Raw genomic sequence first — 22,137 nt, 5'->3', positions numbered from 1 at the left:
GAGATGGGGTTTCACCATGTTGGCCAGAGTGGTCTTGAACTCCTAACCTCAGGTGATGACCTGCCTCGGCCTCCCAAAGTGCTGGGATTACAGGCATCAGCCACCTTGCCCAGCCCCAAATACCTATACTTTTAAAAAGTTAGTTACAACTGGGGTTAACAGTTCGCACTTGTGTTATGTCCGACCTCTTGCAACTTTATTACGAAGCAGGAGTTCCCCCACTTATTAACAGGAGGCTCTACTGATCTTTGCCCTGAAGTCACGGGACTGGAGAATGTATAACAGCAAGGTCCCTGAGTGGGGTTGCACCCCTCTCCCCAAAGGTTATTGAAATAGATATTCCAGACAAATCCAGAGCTTTGAGAGCTCTGAATCTCCTATCTTATCTGCTGAGATGCTCTGTTATTTGGAGACCCTATAATTGCCTGGCTGGGGGAAGTCTCTCAGAAGAGAATGCAAATGTCTCTGGCTCATGGCCAGACTCCCAACCTTCAAGGTTTCAATAACATCCAAATTCTATTTGTTTGTCCCTCTGCTGTTTGACTTACTGTGACTTACGTTACGCCTTTTTAAATTTCTTGCTTAATGTATCCTCCATTTGCAAATTCCACTGTCTTTTAGGCTGCTACTAAATACACAGCCACCATGGAAGTATCCATGACATAAACTTCAAACACCTACACTAGCGATTGCTTCCCCGTACCTTTATCATGCTTTGAGTATGCTCTGACTCATTTGTTTTGCTTACTGAAAGAACAGAGTTATATACATTTCCATGCTAGGATGAGAAGCCTGCAGAATGTTACTGGGCTGAAGTCTTGACCGGGTGATAACCAGCCACCTTGGTCAAGGGGACCCTGTGAACAGAGAGTGGAAGTATTGCTGCAATCTATCCTGACAACTTTAGGACAAAGACTGCCTGTGATGAAGGAGTCTGTCCTGTCTAGGGTGGCCCTTGAAGGGCAAGCAACCATCACCTCTCAGTTTGTCACAATATTAGGATTTAAGGGGGTTTTAGGCATGTTGGAATCTCATTTCATTTTACAGGTGCAAAAATGAGACCAGGTTTGTCCGAGAAAATTATTCTAAAATTTGTAAAACATCTCAAAATGTGTACAGGATATTGATGAATATTATTTCCTTTGAGTTTTATAGCAGCTCTTTGCATGAGACATGCCAGGTGCTCTTCGCTCCATTTTACAGGGGAATGAAAGGAATCTCGGGGCTGTTGGGGGTGGGGCCCAGGATCAGAGCTGAGGTCTTCACCCCCTGCCCCGCATTCCTGCCAATGCACTGTGCTGCCTTCTGAGAATCCAACTCCAAAACTGGCTTTAGCTTGAAGTTTGAAAGGAAGAACAAAGAGGCAGAGATGGAAGGACAGGAAGAGGATATTTAACGGGTTCTCTGACTGTATGCCATGTGGTTTATTACGGGGTTCTATTTGTACCTTATGTAATTGTCATCCTAGCCATGTGAGGCAAATATTCCAACCCCTCTAGAAAATTAAGACTTAAAGAGGTTAAAGAAACTTGACCTAAGTCATACAGTTAAGACCAAAAAACAAACAGAAAAAGGGATCTGGGATTGGAAATACACTTTTAGACTCTAGACTCTCTGGCCTTCTCTGTTGTTTTCTCAGTGCAACATGACACCTTGGAAACTTTAGTTAAGTCACAATGATCCAATTTCTAATAAGGACACCAGAAGAGAACAGGAGGTGGGCCTCAGTCCCCTCTGTTTGGCATCAGACCCAGTGGTCTGAGGCTGGGATGCATAGGAACGTGAGAGATAGTGATGAGGGAGAAACATGCCTGATGGGGTGTTGGAAAGACAGAGGCATGGGTACTGGGAGGACAGGTCAGCTGCAAGGTGGAGGCCTGTGCAGTGCCAGGGCATAGAAGAACAGCCTCCAAATGGAAGAGGCAGCGGGGAATGGCTTGGGATGCAGGGGGATGTGGCTTGGTACAGGGCAGGGCTGCGTGGGAGTAGAGAGGATTCTGCAAGCTGCCCAGCCTGCATCACTGGCATCCTGACAACAAGTGCAAGCAGAGAGATCCGGCCCTTCAAGAACCACCTACCCAGCCGCCCCCACAAAGATATTGCCCAATGCCAAGTAGAAGCCAAGCAACAACCAATTTGGGCCCCCGGATGATGAGCCACTATCTCTGGAGCATAATGCTGGCCACCTCTGACAATTACCTTCCTCTAGCTGCAAAGAGAACCAGGGAACTGTTTGTATTGTCTGCAGTGCTTCACATACAGTGCTGGGAGGTGCGATCGCACTTCCCTTACCGGTTGCTAAGCATATCGTTACTAGGCGACGGCATCAAGATGATGCACAAGGCTGGAGTTCCAGGAGGTGTGTGTGCACGCCGGGAAGAGCTGGAAAGCAGAGTGGGAAGAACAGGGGGTTCTGTTAATTTTACTTTGACCGAGGGGTCTTGGCAAGTGAAATTTAGGAGAGTCCTGTCATGCAGAGGAAACAGGGCAGAGACCACGGTACTCCCGCACGGCTGGAAACAAGCAAAGAAACATTTGAGTATTCGTAACACAGGAAAAGGGCCAGATTTGGCTTAAAGCTGCTCCCCAAGAAGAGTATCTCAGAGTGGACAGACTTCAGGCATCCAGTTTCACTGGTTTTCAACTTTGGGGATATTTCTGTTTTTTTCCCATATGTTACTCAGTTCTCATTTTATCTGGAGGTCGTTTTACTTATCTGGAGATTGTTTTATCTGAATTGAAAAGCACCTTGGGTTTGTGAAACGTGAGGCCTCTCCAGGTCCACATTGCTAGGGTATGATGCTGTTGAAGCCAGAAGAATGGGCTGCTTCAGAGAGAAGGAGCTCCCCATCTCTGTGGGTGTTTAAACAGACTGGACACCTGCTTGGCATGAGAGCTTCTTGGAAGAGCAGCTTTGAAAGAGAAGCAGGGGAGGAAGGCAAGAGGTAGTGGGGTCAAATGCATGAGAGGTAGAAATATAGTGATTGCAGAGACTAGGTAAAGTCAGCTTGGCTAGATGATGCTAAGATAGAATGTTCTGGCTGAATTGTGTCCCCCAAAATTCCTATGTTGAGGTCCTAACCCCCAGTACTTCACAATGGGACTGTATTTAGAGATGGGGTCTTTAAAGTGGTGATTATAATGGGACCATTAGGGTGGGCCCTAATCCAGTATGGCTGGTGCCTTTATAAGAGGAGGAGATTAAGACACAGACACACACAGAGGGATGACCATGTGAGGACACAGGCAACAGATGGCATTTGCAAGCCAAATAGAGAGGCCTCAGAAGAAACCAGCCCTGCTGACACCTTGATGTTGGACTTCCAGCCTCCAGTACCGGGAGAAAATAAATCTCCGTTGTTGAAGCTGCCCAGTCTGTGGTACTTTCTGATGACAGTTGAGCAAACTAACATAAGAATGGCCAGGTACAGTGGCTCATTCCTGTAATCCCAACATTTTGGGAGGCCGAGGTGGGTGGATCTCGGCTCACTGCAACCTCTGCCTCCTGGATTCAAGTGATTCTCCTGCCTCAGCCTCCCAAGTAGCTGGGATTACAGGCGCATGCCACCATGCTTGGTTAATTTTTTTTTTTTTTTTAGTAGAGATGGGGTTTCACCATGTTGGCCAGGCTGGTCTCGAACTCCTGTCCTCAAGTGATCCACCCGTTTTGGCCTCCCAAAGTGCTTGGATTACAGGCATAAGCCATAGTGTCCAGCCTAGCCATGACTTTTTAAGATGGCAACAGAATCATTGATCCAGAAGTGGAGAGCCAGAAAGGCACGACATCTGAAAACCCACCTCATGCAAAGAAGAGGAGAAGTAACTCTTGATGTTAAGCCTAGATCAGGGGATAATGCGGTGGGTAGCTCCCTATCACTGAGGGCTGTCAAACTGCAAAACAGTCATCATTCTGGGCTATTGCCAAGTGCAGTTCAGCACCAAAGGAGCGTGAGCTTCAGACAGTTTGGCTCAGTGAAAGAAAGAACTTTCCAGCCATGAGTTATCCAACAATTGGAATGAGGTGTTGGGACGAAACATTCCCAACAGGTGCTCAAGGAAAAGATACCTTTCTCCATGAGGAGGAGTTTGGGCTGGATGACTTTTAGTGGTCTGCCCCACTTTTCCCTCAAATAATTTGTTGTTCAATGGGGATATTTCTGGTCCTTTGTGATGTTCCATTTTTCTGTGATGAAAGGAGACTGCTCGTCACTTCCTCCATCACTCACAGCAGCATGAAGAGCAGAAAGCAACTTTTATTTCTCTTTCAAGACAGTGTCTGGCTCTGTTGCCCAGGCTGGAGTGCAGCTGCACAATCACGGCTCACTGTAGCCTCAACCTCCAGGGCTCAAGAAATTCTCCCACTTCAGCCCCCTGAGTAGCTGGGACTACAGGCGTGTGCCCCCACACCAGGCTAATTTTCGTATTTTGTATTTTTTTTGTGTGGAGGCAGGGTCTCGTCATGTTGCCCAGGCTAGTCTTGAACTCCTGGTTCAAACGATCTGCCTACCTCAGCCTCCCAAGTGCTAGGATTACAGGCATGAGCCACAGCACCCCGCAAAGAAAGCAAGTACTTTTAAGAAAACAGAGTGAAAACATGAATCCACATAACCTCTTTTATGAGCTCTTCCCTGTCTGCAAATGGAAAACTGTAGCTCAAAGAGGGCAAACTACCTGTAACATATGCCATAGTCCTGAGCAACCAGACTTGTAGCTGAATCAGCTTCTCCTTAACTTCAAAATTGCAAGAGGGAATGAGGAACATCTGAGTAGGAGAAACAGCTCTTCTGGCAGAGGGGTGAGACATGAATCTTTTTTTGGGGAGCAAGGAGTTTGGACACCTTTGGTCTGGTGTCTCAGACAGGCTCAGTCACTTTGTAGCCAGTGGTGTGAGCATCTCCTGCTCCTCTAAGTTCCTCACCATGGCCCCAACCCCTCACTGTGGCCTCCAGGATCATGAGGTCCTGGTTTCCTCCATGGCAGCTACTGGATCTGGGGCACATATACACATTTTCACCTGACTCGCCTTCCCATTAATGTTATAGGTTTCGTATGTTTTCCATGCCTGGAATCACCCATGTGTCATAGAAGCTGCCTACCTCTCATCTCCTCCTTTGATCAGAAAGTCAGCATAGAAGTCTGCACAAATAGGTTACTGGGTCCCATCATCCAAATGTCATATCTGCAGGCTGGGGAAGGCAAGTACTTCCCAGGATTCACAAACAGAATCATCCACACCCCACTCCTGGCTCAGCTTGCCTTTACAGGGGAATCAGGGGGATTCTCCAAGAGGGGTTGTCCTCCAGGCTGCTAAGCCCCTCACTCAGAGCAGCCCCACCATTCCCCAGGGATAGGCAGGTCCTCGCTGTGGCCCAGATGTCAACATGGGCAGCTCTGCCCCAAGGATGTGGCATGTGTTTAAATGTATAAAAGATGAAGAGGAGATGGTAACAGAAGTCCTCCTAAGAAGAAAACTATTTAGAAACATGTGCTCACTAAATCATTGCAGTTAGAAGATGAGGCCCGAGGAAGCTGGGGTGGTATAATTTGTTCATTGCTCTGGGAAAAGAGGGAGAAATAAAAGCAAGGAGGAAGCCAAAGAAGTAGTGGAATGGGAATGCCCCCATGATCTGACCCTCTCCCTAACCCTTTTTGAGACAGAGTCTCACTGTCTCCCAGGCTGGAGTGCAGTGGCGCCATCTTGGCTTAGTGCAACCTTTGGCTCCTGGGTTCAAGCGATTCTCCTGCCTCAGCCTCCTGAGTAGCTGGGATTACAGGTGCCCACCACCATGTCTGGCTAATTTTTATATTTTTAGTAGAGACGAGGTTTTGCCATGCTGGCCTCAAACTCCTGATCTCAAGTGATCCACCCGCCTTGGCCTCCCAAGTGCTGGGATTACAGGTATGAGCCACCATGCCCGGCCTCTCTCCCTAATACTCTTCTTCCTCCCTCCTTCCTTCCTCCAAGAAAAATTGTAAGTGTTCTGTATGGTCTGAGACTTCTTGGCATCATTGGTGAAGGGGCTGAGTTGTGTGTCCTGGAGTAAAGTGGCCAAACAAGACGCAACAGTACAGAGGTGGCAGAAGCACAAGGAAGTGAGTTTACACCTGGTGTAGACAGACCAAGATAGCCCCAGGCTGAGGGGCTGAAGTTCCTGCCAAGTGCCATCAAGCGGACGAGGGGTGGGATCCTGGGTGACCTTAGTTATCTATATTTCTGTCTTCTAGTAATATATGCCATCAATACAAGTAACAGCTACATGGATTGAATACTTATTACATGCAGCACACCAATGAATGCTAAGTGCTTTATATACGTATGTGTATGATCTCCTTTTAATCTTTGCAATATCCCTTAAGGAAAACACTGGGGTTGTCACCCTTCAGCATGCAGGAAAGCTGAGGATGGGAGGGGTCAGAAGGTGCTGAGGTCACATGGCTGGGAAGTAGAGGGGCCACACCTTGAGAAGCCCTCGCTTCTAACCCTTGGGACCTGCCTTGCTGATATAGTGTGAATAATTGTGTGCAAACCAGATATTCGTCCTTCTCCACGGGGAGACATATTGCTCCAAATTTAAAAGAGCAATAATATCAGTTCCAACCTCATGCTGGGGAGGGGAGGTCTTGGGGAGAGAGAAGTGGGAGAGGGCGCACAAATACATGGGCTGAGGGGTGTGCCATTTCCCTAAAGAGTAAAATATAGGCAGGAACTGAGTCTAGGAGTCCTTTCTCCAAACTTAGTGCATTTTCCTTTAGTTACAGCACTGATGAAAAAATTTTTATTTTTTTATTTTTTATTTATTTATTTTTTTGAGACGGATTCTCGCTCTGTCATCCAGGCTGGAGTGCAGTGGCATGATCTCGGCTCACTGCAAGCTCCGCCTCCTGGGTTCACACCATTCTCCTGCCTCAGCCTCCCAAGTAGCTGGGACTACAGGCGCCCACCACCACACCTGGCTAATTTTTTGTATTTTTAGTAGAGACAGGGTTTCACCACGTTAACCAGGATGCTCTCAATCTGAGAGTGGACCTCGTGATCCACCTGCCTCAGCCTCCAAAAGTGCTGGGATTACAGGCATGAGCCAGCACGCCTGGCGAAAGAAATTTTTTTAAAGGAGAAAGGTCAGAAGGCAGGCGACATGGTAACAGTGAATGAATAAGGTAAAGGTTGAATGGGGTTGTCAAGCACACCTCTGTGGCATTGGGCTGAGACTGGCTGAAGGTGCATTCTGTGAGCTGGGCATCCCCTCCGGGGTGATATGTCATTAGACAGGTATAAAAAAGCATAAAAGGGCAGTCATTCCCAGACAGTTATCTGGAACACTCCAGAGCTTTGGGGACTACATGGGGTCCCCAGGTTAGGGGACCCCATCTGCCTGGAAAACACCAGTGGCTTCATTTCAAAGTCATTTGTGACTTTCGTAACAAAGTAAAAGAGCAAGACCTTGAGTCAGGCTTGAGGAAGAGGAACCATGTTTGGAAATGATTTGAGAGGGGAAGGGAGCAGTGGGAGGGCTTGGCTGTATGTCAACTGAGAGATCCAGAAGAAGAAGGTGGATCTGGAAGATGTACAAGAACGAGCAAAAAATAAACAAACAAACAACAAACAAACAAAGAAGGATCAATCATAAAATGAAATTCCTGAGGCTGACTTGGATGTCAAAGCCCGCATATTTGTTGCCTGAGGAAAACATTCTTAATACAGCTCTGGGGGTGGTAGATCCCTGAGCGATACAGATCAGTAATCAAATTATTTTCAAGGTTGATGAGCACATCGGACCCTGGCACTCGGCCACATCAGCTCAGGGGTGGCTTCACAAACGCCTCCTCCTCCCCATCACCCAGGCCTTGGTAGGTGCGTTTCGAGAGCTGGTGTCCAGCAAGGGCCAATGTAAACAGGTCTCGGTTTGCTTTGGTTTGTTTCTCAGGCCCTTCTCACTGCAATTCAGCAGATATGGATGGAATACATCTTCTATGTGACCCACTGAGGGGGGATAAAGGAGCCAGGACTCCATCCTCAGGACTATAGTGTAAGTGGGGAAGGCACATGTCCAATGAATGATAAAATAAGGCAGAAGGAAAGTCCTAACAGAGTCAGGAAGAAGACTGTGGGATCAGAGGAGCACAGACGGGATGAACTGGGGGTGCTGGGAGAAGCACATGGCAGAGGTGACACAGGGGGAGGGTTCGAAGGAATCTGAGAGGTGGGAATTTAGGAAGCCTGGGAGAGGCAGTCTTGCCTTCGAGAACACCGGGAACGAAGACAAAAAACTGGGGAAGCCAACCAAGTCGTCAGGGCGCTGTGGGCAGGAAAGGAAACATAGTCGTTGTTTCAACCAGGGTGGGCACCAAAACTATTTTTGAAGCATTAAGAACAAAGCAGGCTGGGCTCAGTGGCTTCTCGGGAGGCTGAGGTGAGAGGATCATTTGGGCCTGGGAGGTTGAGACTGAAGTGAGCTATAATTACACTGCTGCACTCTGGCATGGGCAAGAGAGTGAGACCCTGTCTCAAGAAAAAAAAAAAAGGAACAAAGTAAAGCAAAACCAAAGAGAAGAAGAAATGACTGCCTGGGCACAACAGCAGACAGGCACAGAAGTGTCTCAAAATCTCACCCGTGGAGTAGGGGGTTCTGATACACACCCCTAAGGAATGGAATTGCAAAGGTGCTTGAGGGTACATCCCTGTGGGGGACCTCCACTGCAGTGGTTCTCAAAGTGGGGTTCCCAGGCCAGCAGCGTCCACATCACTTGCAACCCTGTGGGAAGTACAATTCTTGCTCTCCCCAGATGCACTGTGGCAGAAACTATGGAGTTGGAGCCCAGTTTGAAAGCCCTGCAGCCAGGTGGGGTGGATCATACCTGTGTAATCCCAGCACTTTGGGAGGATAAGACAGGAGGATCACTTGACCCCAGGGGTTCAAGACCAGCCTGGGCAACAGAGCAAGACTCCATCTCTACAAAAAATATTTTAAAATTAGCTGAGTGTGATGGTGGGTGCCTGTAGTCCCAGCTACTAGGGAGGCTGAGGTGGAGGGGATTGCTTAGCCTGGGAGGTAGAAGCTGCATTGAGGTATAACTATGCTATTGTACTGGAGGCTGGGCAACAGAGCAAGACCCTGTCAGAAACAAAAAACACACAAAACCCCCCCACAGCCCTGCAAGTGATTCTGATGCCACTGACTCCATGCTATGCTGAAGGGCTGCAGTGAGTCCAAGGACTGCCCGCCTTGGTCATGACACACATCTCCCCTCAGAACACCCTCCACTGAAGTGGCCGCATCCTGGGGCCAGGGAGTCCTCCACTCACTCAGCTCTTTTGGGAGTGGATGAGCTTTTGTGCATCTTGTTCTTATCTGAATCTCTCTGATGCCCCTCATTTCCACAGGTATCAGAGACCATCCCAAAACAAGCACTTTTTCCTTGATAATCTTTTCCCTAAAACTTCTCCGCATCTGAACAAATGTTTCCGGAGTGTGAGCTCCGTATCCTGACATTTGCTAGATTATGATTGGGAGACAAAGGGGCACGAGACGGGGGCCCGCCTTTCCTTCATCCCATTTAGCAATGCATGTACTTGTGAAAAATAATTTTATCTCAAGAAAACATGTGCCAGGCACAAATGGATGGTACAGCCAAGAGCTCTGGGAGGAGGGGCACCCGGGGAGGTAGAACATGAGGATGCCCTTCCCTCCACCACAGCGCCTTCTACTCCTGAACATCCTCTGTGTGTCATCATCCCGATGGAATAGCTGAGCCCAATTGTTGGGGCAAAAATAGCTGCCAGGCCACCCCCTTGCTCTCCAGGTAGGTATCCCCTTCATCCGTCTCTCCCACTGCACCTCTTGCTGACAGCTGGCTGGTTCTTACCCGCCTGGCCAAGCCCTGTCTGTTCTGTCTGCCCCCCTCCCCACTGCACATACGCAAACAGCAGCAAGAGGCAGGAAGTGGGTTCTTCCTTCACCAGCCCTGCTGGCCAGCGGCCAGCATGGACAGCTTCAATGCCCAAGCAGCAGTTGGCAGCCTGGGCCATGCCCCTGGAGGGCTGGCACCTCCCACTTGCTGCACCAGCTCAGCCCTGCCTGCAGCCCTGGCCACACCCCAGAAATGCCTGTCTGCCCATGCCCAGCCAAGGCTTCTCCATGCTTGGTGCAAGAGCTCCTGTGGCCTGGGGCCAAAGTCCTCTTCAAACAAAAATCTGACTCTCTTCCCTGCTTAAAAATTCTTGCAACTGCCTATCCTATCCTATCTATCCTATTGCTTCCTGTCACCGGAGAATGATGTCCAACACTAAGCCACCCAGATCAAGGGTCTCTATAGCATTCTCGCCTTATCTCCACCGTGCTCCTGCTAGATCCAGACACCCTGAGATGTTCCCAGCTTCCAAAACAGGCCCCATTTCTTCAGTGCCTTCTTATCTTTGCATATGCTGTGCTCTCAACCTGTAAAGCACCTCACCCAACCACCCTTTGCCTGGCACACACATATCTTCTTCAAAATCCTTCCCAGCACCACCTTTTGGGCCACCTCTTGGTAAAGTTGGTAGCTCTGGCCTTCCTGCCTCCATGGCATCTGCTCCACTGTCATGCAGAACATCTGGTCTCACTGTGGCTGCCTGAATTACTGTTTCATCTTGAGAATAGTACCCCTTGTTCACCTCTGAAACCACTCATGCCTTGCATGGTACCTGGCCCACAGCAGGTGCTAAGTGATGTGGAGCTGGGCTTTAGATTCACCATGTCAAAGCCACCAATTCTACATTCTCAAAAATAGGAAACATGGCTTCAAGGAAGCACATAGACTCATTCCTTGCAGATGTTTAAAGCCGAAAGGAAAACAGCCACCTGCTAGGATAGGTGAGACTCCGTCCTGACCGACAGGCACAGAAGAAAGGACTAGGTGTCACTGTCACTGGAAACACTGGAATCCTGCCCAGGAATGGACTAAAATTCTACAGAAGGGATCTGAATGCTTCTCTGAAAGATGCTGACCTGAACTCCTAATTCTGAACCTGCCAACCACCATCAGTAAAGGAAAGGAGTCCAGGCCATGTATGTCCACATTGCTGTGTACTGTCCCTGACCCCCTGATCCCCAACTCCAACCATACACAATCCAGAGTCAACTACGCCAGAGCCTGCCTGCTATGTTACCACCCTGCCAGTCTTTCCATTGTCCCAACTTCTTCCCTTTCCGGGGTCTGAGCCTTTAAAGGTCATCTCTCAAGCTTTCGCCCATGTCTCTGTGCCCATGTCAGGCCACAGCTTCCTTTCTTACCTTCTTGCCCAGTATTCTTCCTCTTTCTCTCTCTTACCCCAAACTCCAGAGTACCATTTGCCAGCTGACACATTTTCTTAAGAAAGGACCAATGGTAAAGGATGGGGAGGGGGCTGTGTCTCTGTGCAGTAGGTGGTGAGTGTGGCCTCTGAGATGGATCAGACTGTCTCACCCCAGAGAAGGTAGAAGGAGAGACCTCCAGGGCCACCACACAAAACATCAGCAACCCAGAAGCCTTTGTGCTGATGGAAAGAGCAATGAAGAGCTGGGGGGCCCACCCAAGAAAATCCTTGTTATCATGTCACAAGCCTAAAGGTCCCACTCTGGTGACTTACAACTCTGGACCAAGGCCTGCAATCACATCACTTGATGTCTGAGTCTCTCAACTGCCTCCAGGACCCTGCGCAGCCTTAGTTTCTTCCCATTTTTAAAGGAAGATGATAAAGATATTCCAGGCGACAGAAAATACAGTGTCTTGTTTCTAATCTGTAACTGTAAACTTGTTTTTTAAACAATTTTATATATGGTTCCATAAAATGTAAATTAAAGACCAAGGCTGATTTACTAAGTGGGGATTAGAAAATCCTAAATAAAGAGGGAAAGATTGGTGTGGTTGCTTGATTGGTTTACTTGCTTGCATTTCTTCTTTTGTTCATTCATTCATGAGTCCATTGTCCATTCATCCATCTACTTATTTTTAAATATCACATTTGCTTGAATAGGAGGTAAAGCTCTCTACCTTCCCAAATTATCTGTCAGAAAGGAGAAAGTTTATATCCAAGCCCTTACAGAATCTTTCATGTTATGGGTTGCTTTCTCAATTATCTTATTTTGAACAACAATATACTGTTTGGGAAAAGTATTAGCACTCCAATCAATCAAGGCTAGTTTGGGATGCTTACAAAGGTTACTTAAAAGAATTGGTTTTTATGAAAAGCAACCACCATACTATAATATAGATTCAGCAATTTTTCTTTTTAAAATTTTTTCTTTCTTTCTTTCCATAGGTTTTTGGGGAACAGGTGGTGTTTGGTTACATAAATAAGTTCTTTAGTGGTCATTTCTGAGATTTTGATGGACTCACACCACTGGAGCAGTATATATTGCATCCAATTTGTCTTTTATCCCTCACCCCCCTCCCACCCTTTCCCTCGATTCCCCCAAAGTCCATTGTATAATTCTTATGCCTTTGCATCTTCATAGCTTAGCTCCCTCAGCAATTTTTTTGAGGGCATAACCTTAAAATTTCAAGTGCTAAATGTTGTAAACAAACCTTTAAAAGATCATTGTCTAAAAAGCAGTGTACTGAGTGGTTATATTGTTGACATAAAAAATAAATACTTTGTAAAGGATTTGAACAGACATTTTTTTTCCCAAGAAGACATACAAATGGCCAACAAGAACATGAAAAGATGTTCACCATCATTAATTATCAGGGAAACGCAACTGAAAACCACAGTAAGATACTACTTCATCCCCACTGGGATGGCTAACAACGAAATTACAGACAACAACAAGTGTTGGCGAGAACGTGGAGGTATTAGAACCAAGAAGTACTGCTGATGGGAATAAAAAATGAGGCAGCTGCTGTGAAAAACCATTCAACAGTTCCTCAAAATGTTAAACAGAGTTATCACAGGACCCGGCAACTCCACTCTTAAGTCTATAGCTCAGAGAAATGAAAACATATGTCCACAAAAAAACTTGTATGTGAATGTTTATAGCAGCAGTACTTACAATGGTCAAAAAGTGGAAACAATCCAAATGTTTACTAATGAAGAGATAAACAAAATATGGCATATCCACACAACAAAATGTTACTCATCAATAAATATCAATCAAAACGAAACGAAGTACTAATAGATGTTACAACATGGAGGAAGTTTCAAAACATTGTGCTAAGTGAAAGCAGCCGTCGCGAAAGGCCACAGTGTTGTACAATTCCACTTATATGGAATGACCAGAAAAGGCAGATCCATAAAAATAGAAAGTAGATTAGTCTTGCCAGGGGACGGGGGAGTGGAGAACACGGTGTGACTGCTTATGGTACGGGGGTTTCTTTTTGGAGTGACGAGAATATTCTGCAATTAGATAGCAGTGATGGAGGGCCAGGCGCAGTAGCTCACGCCTGTAATCTCAGTACTTTAGGAGGCCAACGCGGGTGGATCACTTGAGCTAGGAGTTCAAGACTAGCCTGGCCGACATGGTGAAACCCCATCTCTACTAAAAAATACAAAAACTAGCCAGGCATGATGGCAGGTGCCTGTAATTCCAGCTACTTGGGAGGCTGAGGCAGGAGAATCACTTGAACCCAGGAGGGAGAGGTTGCAGTGAGCTGATACCATGCCATTCACTCCAGCCTGGGCAACAGAACAAGACTCTTGTCAAAAAAAGAAAAAAAGCGGTGATGGTTGCACAACTCTGTGAACGTACTAAAACTCATTGAATTGCACATTTTTAAAAGGTGAATTTTACGGTATGTGAATTGTATCTCAAAAAACTACTATTCATCAATAAGTATTAATTAGCGGTTATTAAAAAACTGGCAGTGGCGGGGGGAGGGGGGACGGGTGGTGGGGACGTGGGGCTGAGGCAGGAGAATCGCTTGAATCCAGAAGGCAGAGGGTGCAGTGAGCCGAGATTGTGCCACTGCACTCCAGCCTGGGTGACAGAGAGAGACTCCGTCTCAAAAATAAAAAATAAATAAGTAAATAAACTCCTTTTGGATCAATTTGAAACAGCTAACTCTCTTTAGACCACAGGGACTATGATGCCCACAGAACATGAAGAGCTGATGCAGAAAGGGTTCTGGTGACAAGAAGGACACTGATGTCAGAGATGGGAGTGAACAGTTACAATGTTTCCTAAACTGGGAGAGTTGGGGGAAAGCAGTATTTAAGTTAATGTATTGTTATTAGCATGTGATTGAAAATGTATCGCTAAAATAATCTATTCAACATTATCCTACAAAGTTTACATATGAAAATAAGCTTTTTAATTTTTTTTTAGCAGCCCTCCTTATTGGGAGAACAGAGCTGCCTTATATCAGGCACACATTGTACGTACTCAATGCCAGCTGTGTGTCAGGTACCAGGCTGTGTCCTTGGGATGTAACAGTGACTCTCCATACAGATACGGTTCTTTCCTCAACAGGGCTTATGGCCTAGTTTGTCTGAATTAAAAAGGAGCTCAAGTTTGAGGTCATTTTTATGAAAGGTTTGTAGAACGGATGATAATATCTTATGAGAGATGTTCTTAATCTTTTGGGGTCACAGGTGCCTTGGAGAGCCAGATGATAGCAATGAACTTTCTTTCATAAACATATGCATTTACTCTTTGGTAAGAATTACACATATCTTCTTTCAGGGAGTTCAAATCTACAGCCCCTCCCGCCACTCACACATACATAAACCTGCCATGCCCCAGGCTGGACTTACGACTTTGACATTGTTCTTTTCCAAGTCCATTTGCACCTACAGCCATTCTCCAGCTCCCATGACACATACACAATGAGCACCTCACGAGCCTGAGACCCGGAAAGAATTCCAGATGACCTGCACCCCAGGAGATCCATGGAGGGGACTCAAGGGCCTGGTAGGTACCTCGCCTTCTCACTTCAACCCTGGATAGGAATATTTTTGCCTGGTTTATATTGGGCTCTTGCCTAAGATCTGCTTTGAAGAAAGCTTTGCTAAAAAGTCCCCACACCCCCTGATTGCACATACAAATAAAAAACAGGAGGCTTGAACAGGCTTACCCAGGGGACTCACCCCATAGCATGTGGTGGGATATGAAGGAGGCAGTGACTAGCCCAGGGCTCCTAGGCTCAGGGCAGCTCCTGTGCCCTCTTCCAGGGACCCCCAGGGCATGAACACAGGCTGGGGCTGAGTCTTCAGTGTTGGGTGCAGAAAGCATTTTTCTTTTCTCTTTTTTTTTTTTTTTTTTTGAGACAGTGTTTTGCTCTTTTGCCCAGCTAGGCTGGAGTGTAATGGCATGATCTTGGCTCACTGCAACCTCCGCCTACTGGGTTCAAGCCATTCTCCTGCCTCAGCTTCCCTGGTAGCTGGGATTACAGGCCTGCGCCACAATATCCGGCTAATTTTTTATTTTTAGTACAGATGGGGTTTCTCCATGTTGGTCAGGCTGGTCTCAAACTCCCAACTTCAGGTGATCTGCCCGCCTTGGCCTCCCAGAGTGCTGGGATTACAGGCATGAGTCACTGCAATTGGCCCTGAAAGCATTTTTCTATACAGGGTCAAGTAAAGACAGGGAGAGGGCTCAGAGGCTGCACTGGTGACAATGCAGATAAACGAGGTGATTGTCGAACAAGTGTTTGCAAATCTCGAGCTTCCCAGGGCCAGAAAGCTCAGAGTCCAGCAGCCAAGGCTATGTCTGTGTACACTGGAGGTCAAAGTCAAGTTACTAAAAACTGTCAATCTCTGCCTTGTAAATCTCTCCCATTTTCCCGGAGCATTGCACCCTCTGCCAAGGCTGCCTAACTTCTTTCCTCCTCCCCATCTTTCTCCTCTCATTCAGCCTGGCCTAGTTGTACTCAACAGTAGGAGGAGGAGAGAAAAGGGAAAGGCAAGACTCACAGAGATTAGAGAGAGTTAGGAGTGGTTTAATAAAGAAATGATGGAGTTCCTGCCCTAGACTGCTGACTCCCTCTCTCTCGGCTGTAGGAAATCTCCACCTTCAGGACAGGCAAGAAGGGCATCCTAACCACAGGGCAAGAATTCAAGAGACTCGGGATGTGGCCCCTATTCTAGTTGCAACTGGCTGTTGCGACACCCACTGCGGGGAATGAGGAAGCGCTGTCTGGCTCACTCCGTGTGAGCCAGGCATGAGTGTGCAGGGAGGGAGGGATCCCTTTTCACAGGCCCAGGGAAATGCAATTTTCTATCCTTGGAATTTGACGGTATAAGGAAGAAGAACAAAATAAAAGGCATCTCCCTGCTGTGGAGGAATGTAGCATCAGGTTGAAAAATAGATTCTGGGAGATCCCAGGATGCAAAGAAGCCCAGAAGCTGCCATGGGGAGCTCAGATGTCCTCCAAAAGGGTGGGTCACCGACTGAGCCTTAAAGGAGTAAGTAGGACTGGTGAAGTGCATGGGGCTGGCATTCCAAACAGAACACAGGACTTGAGCAGAGGCTTGCCAGAGACTGGGGAGCACACCAGGCTGGCTGGGGCTTCATTTGGGTATGGGGAAAGTTTAGTTAGAAGAGCAGATCAAGGTTGGATTATGGGAGGCACTGAATGGTAAATTTAAGGGGGCTGGATTTGCCTGCAGGCATTGGGGAGCTTCCAAGGGAACCAGAGATAGGACGAAGCTCTTGGGTAAAAATATGAAGCAATATTAGGTAATATGATTTGGGTCAGAGTAGGGGCCATAGAAACGGGAAGGAAGGAATGAAAGGCATGAAGAAAGAATCTGCAGGATTGAGTGATGGGCAAGATATGAGCAGAAAAAAGTGGGGGCGTGGAAAGAGGGGAGGCAATAGCAAGGTTTCTGACCTGAGTGTGTGGGAGATGAACAACCCCATGAAGAGGAGAGAAGCCAGGAGGAGAGATGGTTTGGCGTGAGAAAAGGAGGAGTTTAATTTCTGAGATACAGCATTGAAGAAGACAAGCTCCTCAAGTGGGAATATCTTACAGACTCTTAGAAGTGAGGGCTAAGGGAGGGAGGGAGGGTCCTGGGAATCATCACATCTGGATGGTCACCGGAGACATGATGGAGAAGGGGCCTGTGGATCTAAGTGCATATTCCTGACTTGATACTTCAAGGTGCTGCCAGATAGAGGTTGAGACAGGCTTGGCATTTAACACACTCCTAGCAGAGGGGAGGCCCAGGGGGAAGCGGCCAGGCTGGGAATCAAGAATATGGAAGACAGAGGTGAAGAGGAATGGTGGGTTTCTCATGGATGTTCTCATAAGTTATATATCTCTCAAATTCATCAAAGAACCAATTTCAGCTCAGAGAAAGTAGAAGCCTCCAGGGGATGCCTGCATGCTCCACAGGACCGCAAAGTATCTGAGTTACGCAATTTATTCAGATGTGTGAGGCCTGAAATATTACAACACTCTCTTATCTGCTCCCTTGCGAATTCAAGCTCTCTTCACTCTCATCCACTCTACACACCAGAATCTGACCCTCGCACCTCCACCGAAGTCAGCATGGTCAACAGCTCCTACTGCCTTCAGAATAAAGCCCCATGGCTGTCTGGGACTTCCAGGATAACTCCCAAACACATTGGCCTCCCTGTCCAAGCCTTATCTTCCGTTCCACCCCCAACTCTGATTGCCTTTTGCCACTCTTGGTTCCACCCAAAATGAGTCACTCAAACCACACCTCTCCATCTCTCTGCTGTTATTTATACTCTTCTTTGACTACAGCCACCATCTCAAGTTCCCACAGTGTATCCTGTCTATCCTTTCAGAGCTTTGCCAAATGCCGTCTCCTCCAGGAAGCATTCCCAGAGTCCATAGCCAGAAGGAATCTCTGCCCTGCAATCTCATAGCACTTCGTGCCTCTTTTATGGCACATTATTTACCTTTAAGTAACTTAGAGTTAAATAAATATCTTACAGTTCTTTATCTTCATGTATTGCCTCCCCTACCATACTATAAACTTTGTGAGGACAGATATAATTCCTCAAATTAGGGGGAAGAAGTGGTGGTTCATGCCTGTGATCCCAACACTCTGGGAGGCCGAAGCAGAATTGCTTGAGCCCAGGTGTTCAACACCAGCCTGGCCAACATAGCAAGACATCGTCTCTACAAAAATTTTAAAAATTAGCCGGGTGTGGTGGCATGTGCCTGTGGCCCCAGCTACTCAGGAGGCTGAGGCCGGAGGATTGCTTGAGCCTGAGAGGTCAAGGTTGCTGTGAGGTGTGATCGCACCACTGTACTCCAGCCTGAGCAACAGAGTGAGATTCTGTCTCGAAATGAGATAAAAAAAAAAATTGGGGGAAGAAAAACTATACCCTGAGAGTAAAGGGGGTGATGGGGAGAAACATTCAACAAGTGCCTAGAACAAATTACAAATTAGCAAAGTAAGGCTCAGAGAGGTTCTATCACTTGGCGATGTCAGACAGGCAGAGTATGACAGAGTCGAGAGTCAAACCCACCACGTTCTGATCCCAAATTCATCACTTTTCCTGGGACAATGCCTGTGATGTTTTATGGGGGATTTTCACACAGTCAAGTATTTCTCTCCATTACCCTATTAGGGAGGCAGTACCAATTCTTCATCTTCAAATGAGAAAAGGAAGGCTTGAAGAGGAAAGAGATTTAGCCAATGTACCCCAGTTAACAGGTGAGAGAATCTACACCAAAGCTCAGGCCTCCTGCCCTCTGACTCTCTTTCCTCTTGCCCGGGCTGAAAAACTGCCTGAGCTTCTGCCTGTAATGAGCTAGGGGCTGGGATTCAAACTTGCAGTGAGCCACTTGCAGCTGTCTTGGTTGGCACCGCTGTCTGCCAGCACCAAACATCTGCCTAAATAGCGGAGGGGATGTGACCGGATGTTGCCAAGAGCCTCTGCAGAGGTGCAAAGTGCAGCAGCATCAGATCTCTCATAACCTACCTGGGGTGGGACCTGGGGGCGGGGACTGGGTACATGGAGCTGGGTGAGAGGGGTTGGGTTTTGACTCCAAATACTGCCAGAGAACATAGAAAAGCACTTGAGGTTCCCAGAGCAGTGGGATGGACATAGTACATTAATTTAGAAATCAGAAACCCTAAATCAGTACATTAATTTAGGGTGTGGTGGCTCACACCAGTAATCCCAGCACTTTGGGAGGCTGAGGGGAGTGGATCACCTGAGGTCAGGAGTTCGAGACCAGCCTGGCTAATATGGTGAAACCCCGTTTCTACTAAAAATAAAAGAATTAGCCAGGGATGGTGGTGGGTGCCTGTAATCTCAGCTACTCGGGAAGCTGAGGCAGGAGAATCTCTTGAACCCAGGAGGTAGAGGTTGTAGAAAGAAAATAAGCCAGGTGTGGTGGCATGTGCCTGTAGTCTTGGCTCATGCCCCTGCACCCAAGTGAGACTTTGTCTCAAAAAAAGAAAAGAAAAAAAAAAACCAGAAAATGATGGTGCTCCAAGTGGTCAGAACCACCACAGGGGCCATTCCGTCCCAGGTGAGAAAGGTGAGAAGGGAACCCCCAGAAGAGCAAAACCCAAACTCAGGTCAGAATTCCCAGTACACCCCTCCCCATCAATCACCCCCATATGAACCAGTGGGACTGCTATGGCTTGTGGGGGGCAGGTTCTCACAGAATCAGGTGCAAGGCCCTCAAGAAAGAAAGGGCATTAAAAGGGGGTCTGCCCCCACAATTATTGGGAGAATTGGTCCAATTTAAAGGAAGACAAATGCAGGAGATGTGAATTAAACCTGGTACCGAGCTCTAAACCCTGGGCGAGGTGGATTCTTTGAGCCCTCCTGTCTCTAGTGAGTGATCTTACCAGATTCTGTGTGGGTGGATTTCAGAACATAAAAGGAAGAGAGAGAACTGGAGAGGGGGAAGATGTTAGCGAACACAGCCAAGCTAGGAAACGGGAAGGCTTGCCTCCCGCAGGTATTGGCCATTGCTGATCTTGGTTTTAGTCACACTAACTGGCTGCCTCATAAAAGCAGCAACCACCTTAGTGCTGGGAAAAGGTAAGAGGCCACGAAGACCACTAAACTCAGAGCAGCGTCCACCCCTGCAGGCCCCCTGTGGCCTACCTGGAGGGTCTCCTGAAAATTAAACTCTGCATTCACACCAACCTGCCCGCTGCATCTGGGTGAAAAGTGTGTCGGAACATGCAGCCTCAAGTCTGCTCTTCTTAATAAACTGTCACCATGAGTAATAATTATTCCTTGAGAAATAGCAGAGTGACTCAAAAAGCTATCCCCTCCCCCTCTGCCGCCCCCTTGCACAGCTCGCAGCTTTGTACACAGAGTTAGGAGGCCCAGAAAGTGAAGCCACCATTTTCTCCTACCTGTCAGCTCTCTGAACGCTTTAAATGACCATCTAGACTTCAGTGCCGGCTGGGCATTCGTAGACAGTCTCTTCGCTGTCTAAAGAGTTAATGAGGGCTGGCTGTTGCCAAAACACAGTGAACTGAGAGTGGGATTAGGCAGAAACAAACATCATTGAATACCTGATGTATGCTTGTGAGAGAGTGCTCAGGGGAAGCTGCCTGATGCCTCGCAGAAGAGGACCTATAACCTCTGGAAAAATAAATGGTGCTGCCCCGCCAGCTCAGATATGGCCATATGTGTAAAGATACCAGAGAGCTCATACTTATTGGATGCATATCATCTGCCTAATTATGGGACTGAATGTTTTATTGTACTTCGACGCTATTATTATTCAGTGGGTGCATAAGATGCTATTATTAAGCGGGTGCATCTGGGTTGTTGAAATATCGAAACAGTCCATCCTCGTTGGATATGTCCACGCTACAGCCCTCCAAAGGCCTGTTTCTTCCACCCCCAGACTCCACAAGATGCACTGACGGGGTGAGCCTGGCATGGAAGGGGGCCTCTCTGACGCTGCTCAGAGTAATGGTGGTGTCTGTTCTGTTTGATCTGTACTCAGGTTTTAGTAGCTGTATTTTGAATATCTCTCTAATGTACACTATCTCATGCCACCCTCACCCAAAGCCCTGTTATTGTCTCCATCTTGCAAATAGGAAGCTAGGGCTAACTCACCTACCTAACGTCACTCAGGGGGTACCAAACCTGGGCTGGAACCCAGGCAGACTGACTGAGCCTGAGCTCTTGACCATCCGACTGCTTGGACAGATAAGGCATATCAGTGTTGCAGAGTCACCACTATCCCTGCTCTTTCTCCTTAACCCTGGAACTGACCCGTACTCTACAAGGAAACTCTTCATCCTCAAGCCAGCAAAACTTATCTTCATCACCACACTTTCAGCCCCGGGCACGTCGCAGCTCTGCACCTCTACTCCATCCCCCAATGTGGCCATTTACCTGGGAGGCCAGGGTCACATGGTCCTGAGACATATGGGTCCCAGGCAGGGGAAACTAGAGACTGAGTGACCTACCATGCAGGGTAGCCCCAGGGTAGCCTCCCTCCCCTCCCTAGCCTCACCATCAGTTTCCTTTGTCCTAGCAGTATTTGGGGTACATGGAGCTACTGTCGTCACTATGGAGAGCTAAGTGCCAAGGGACTTGGACTTTCTCCAGGGTCCTCTGCACGATGAAACATGGCCGGATCTGCAATGGGAAGACTCAGGCTGATACAGGTGGGAGTTTGTGTCTCTGAAGGATGCATGATGCTAGAAAGATTGCATACAGCCAGACGCGGTGGCTCACACCTGTAATCCTAGCACTTTGGGAGGCTGAGGCAGGCAGATCATGAGGTCAAGAAATTGAGACCCTCCTGGCCAACATGGCGAAACCCCGTCTCTACTAAAAATACAAAAATTAGCTGGACGTGGTGGTGCGTGCCTGTAATCCCAGCTACTCGGGAGGCTGAGGCAGGAGAATCACTTGAACCCAGGAGGCAGAGGTTGCAGTGAGCTGAGATCGCGCCACTGCACTCCAGCCTGGGCAACAGAGTGAGACTCCATCTCAAAAAAAAAAAAAGGTTGCACGCAAGGGCTCCTTCCTTGAAGATCTTCTCTAAGTTGGACACTGCCTAGTCTAGAATGAATTAGGTCCATCCTGGCTAGAGTTATGAGAAGGGCTATGCCTTCTGAACGACCTGCTTGGTCCCCAAACTGCCCTCACATCAAGGTTCACTCAATGTGGAATGCTGTTTCCCTGAGAATGTGCATGGGCTCTACAGCCATCCTCAGGGAATGACACGTGTCTTTTTATGCAGGACTTATCATAACCTTGATCTTGCAAATAT

General features: G+C 47.6%; 1 protein-coding gene across 35 annotated transcripts in view, besides 5 other annotated features; it reads right to left on the bottom strand.

The window, feature by feature from the left end:
• The window catches only part of PTK2B (protein tyrosine kinase 2 beta), a 148,886-nt gene that overhangs the window by 108,580 nt on the left and 18,169 nt on the right, over window positions 1-22,137 (bottom strand). The gene's annotated exons all lie outside the window — the stretch shown is intronic.
• Window positions 1,086-1,380: a silencer, noted in NCBI's record as "tiled region #9089; K562 Repressive non-DNase unmatched - State 7:EnhWF". NCBI's record gives its function as "represses a minimal TATA promoter and a strong SV40 promoter by Sharpr-MPRA in K562 cells {active_cell/tissue: K562}" and the evidence as "EXISTENCE:reporter gene assay evidence [ECO:0000049][PMID:27701403]".
• Window positions 10,001-10,050: a silencer, noted in NCBI's record as "silent region_19048". NCBI's record gives its function as "represses an Ori minimal core promoter by ATAC-STARR-seq in GM12878 lymphoblastoid cells {active_cell/tissue: GM12878}" and the evidence as "EXISTENCE:reporter gene assay evidence [ECO:0000049][PMID:35858748]".
• Window positions 17,343-17,622: an enhancer, noted in NCBI's record as "active region_27139". NCBI's record gives its function as "activates an Ori minimal core promoter by ATAC-STARR-seq in GM12878 lymphoblastoid cells {active_cell/tissue: GM12878}" and the evidence as "EXISTENCE:reporter gene assay evidence [ECO:0000049][PMID:35858748]".
• Window positions 19,809-19,878: a silencer, noted in NCBI's record as "silent region_19047". NCBI's record gives its function as "represses an Ori minimal core promoter by ATAC-STARR-seq in GM12878 lymphoblastoid cells {active_cell/tissue: GM12878}" and the evidence as "EXISTENCE:reporter gene assay evidence [ECO:0000049][PMID:35858748]".
• Window positions 19,989-20,048: an enhancer, noted in NCBI's record as "active region_27138". NCBI's record gives its function as "activates an Ori minimal core promoter by ATAC-STARR-seq in GM12878 lymphoblastoid cells {active_cell/tissue: GM12878}" and the evidence as "EXISTENCE:reporter gene assay evidence [ECO:0000049][PMID:35858748]".

This window comes from Homo sapiens, chromosome 8 (genome assembly GCF_000001405.40).
Source record: "Homo sapiens chromosome 8, GRCh38.p14 Primary Assembly".
Classification (NCBI taxonomy): Eukaryota; Metazoa; Chordata; class Mammalia; order Primates; family Hominidae; genus Homo; species Homo sapiens.
This window is presented reverse-complemented; position numbering and strand designations above follow the sequence as displayed.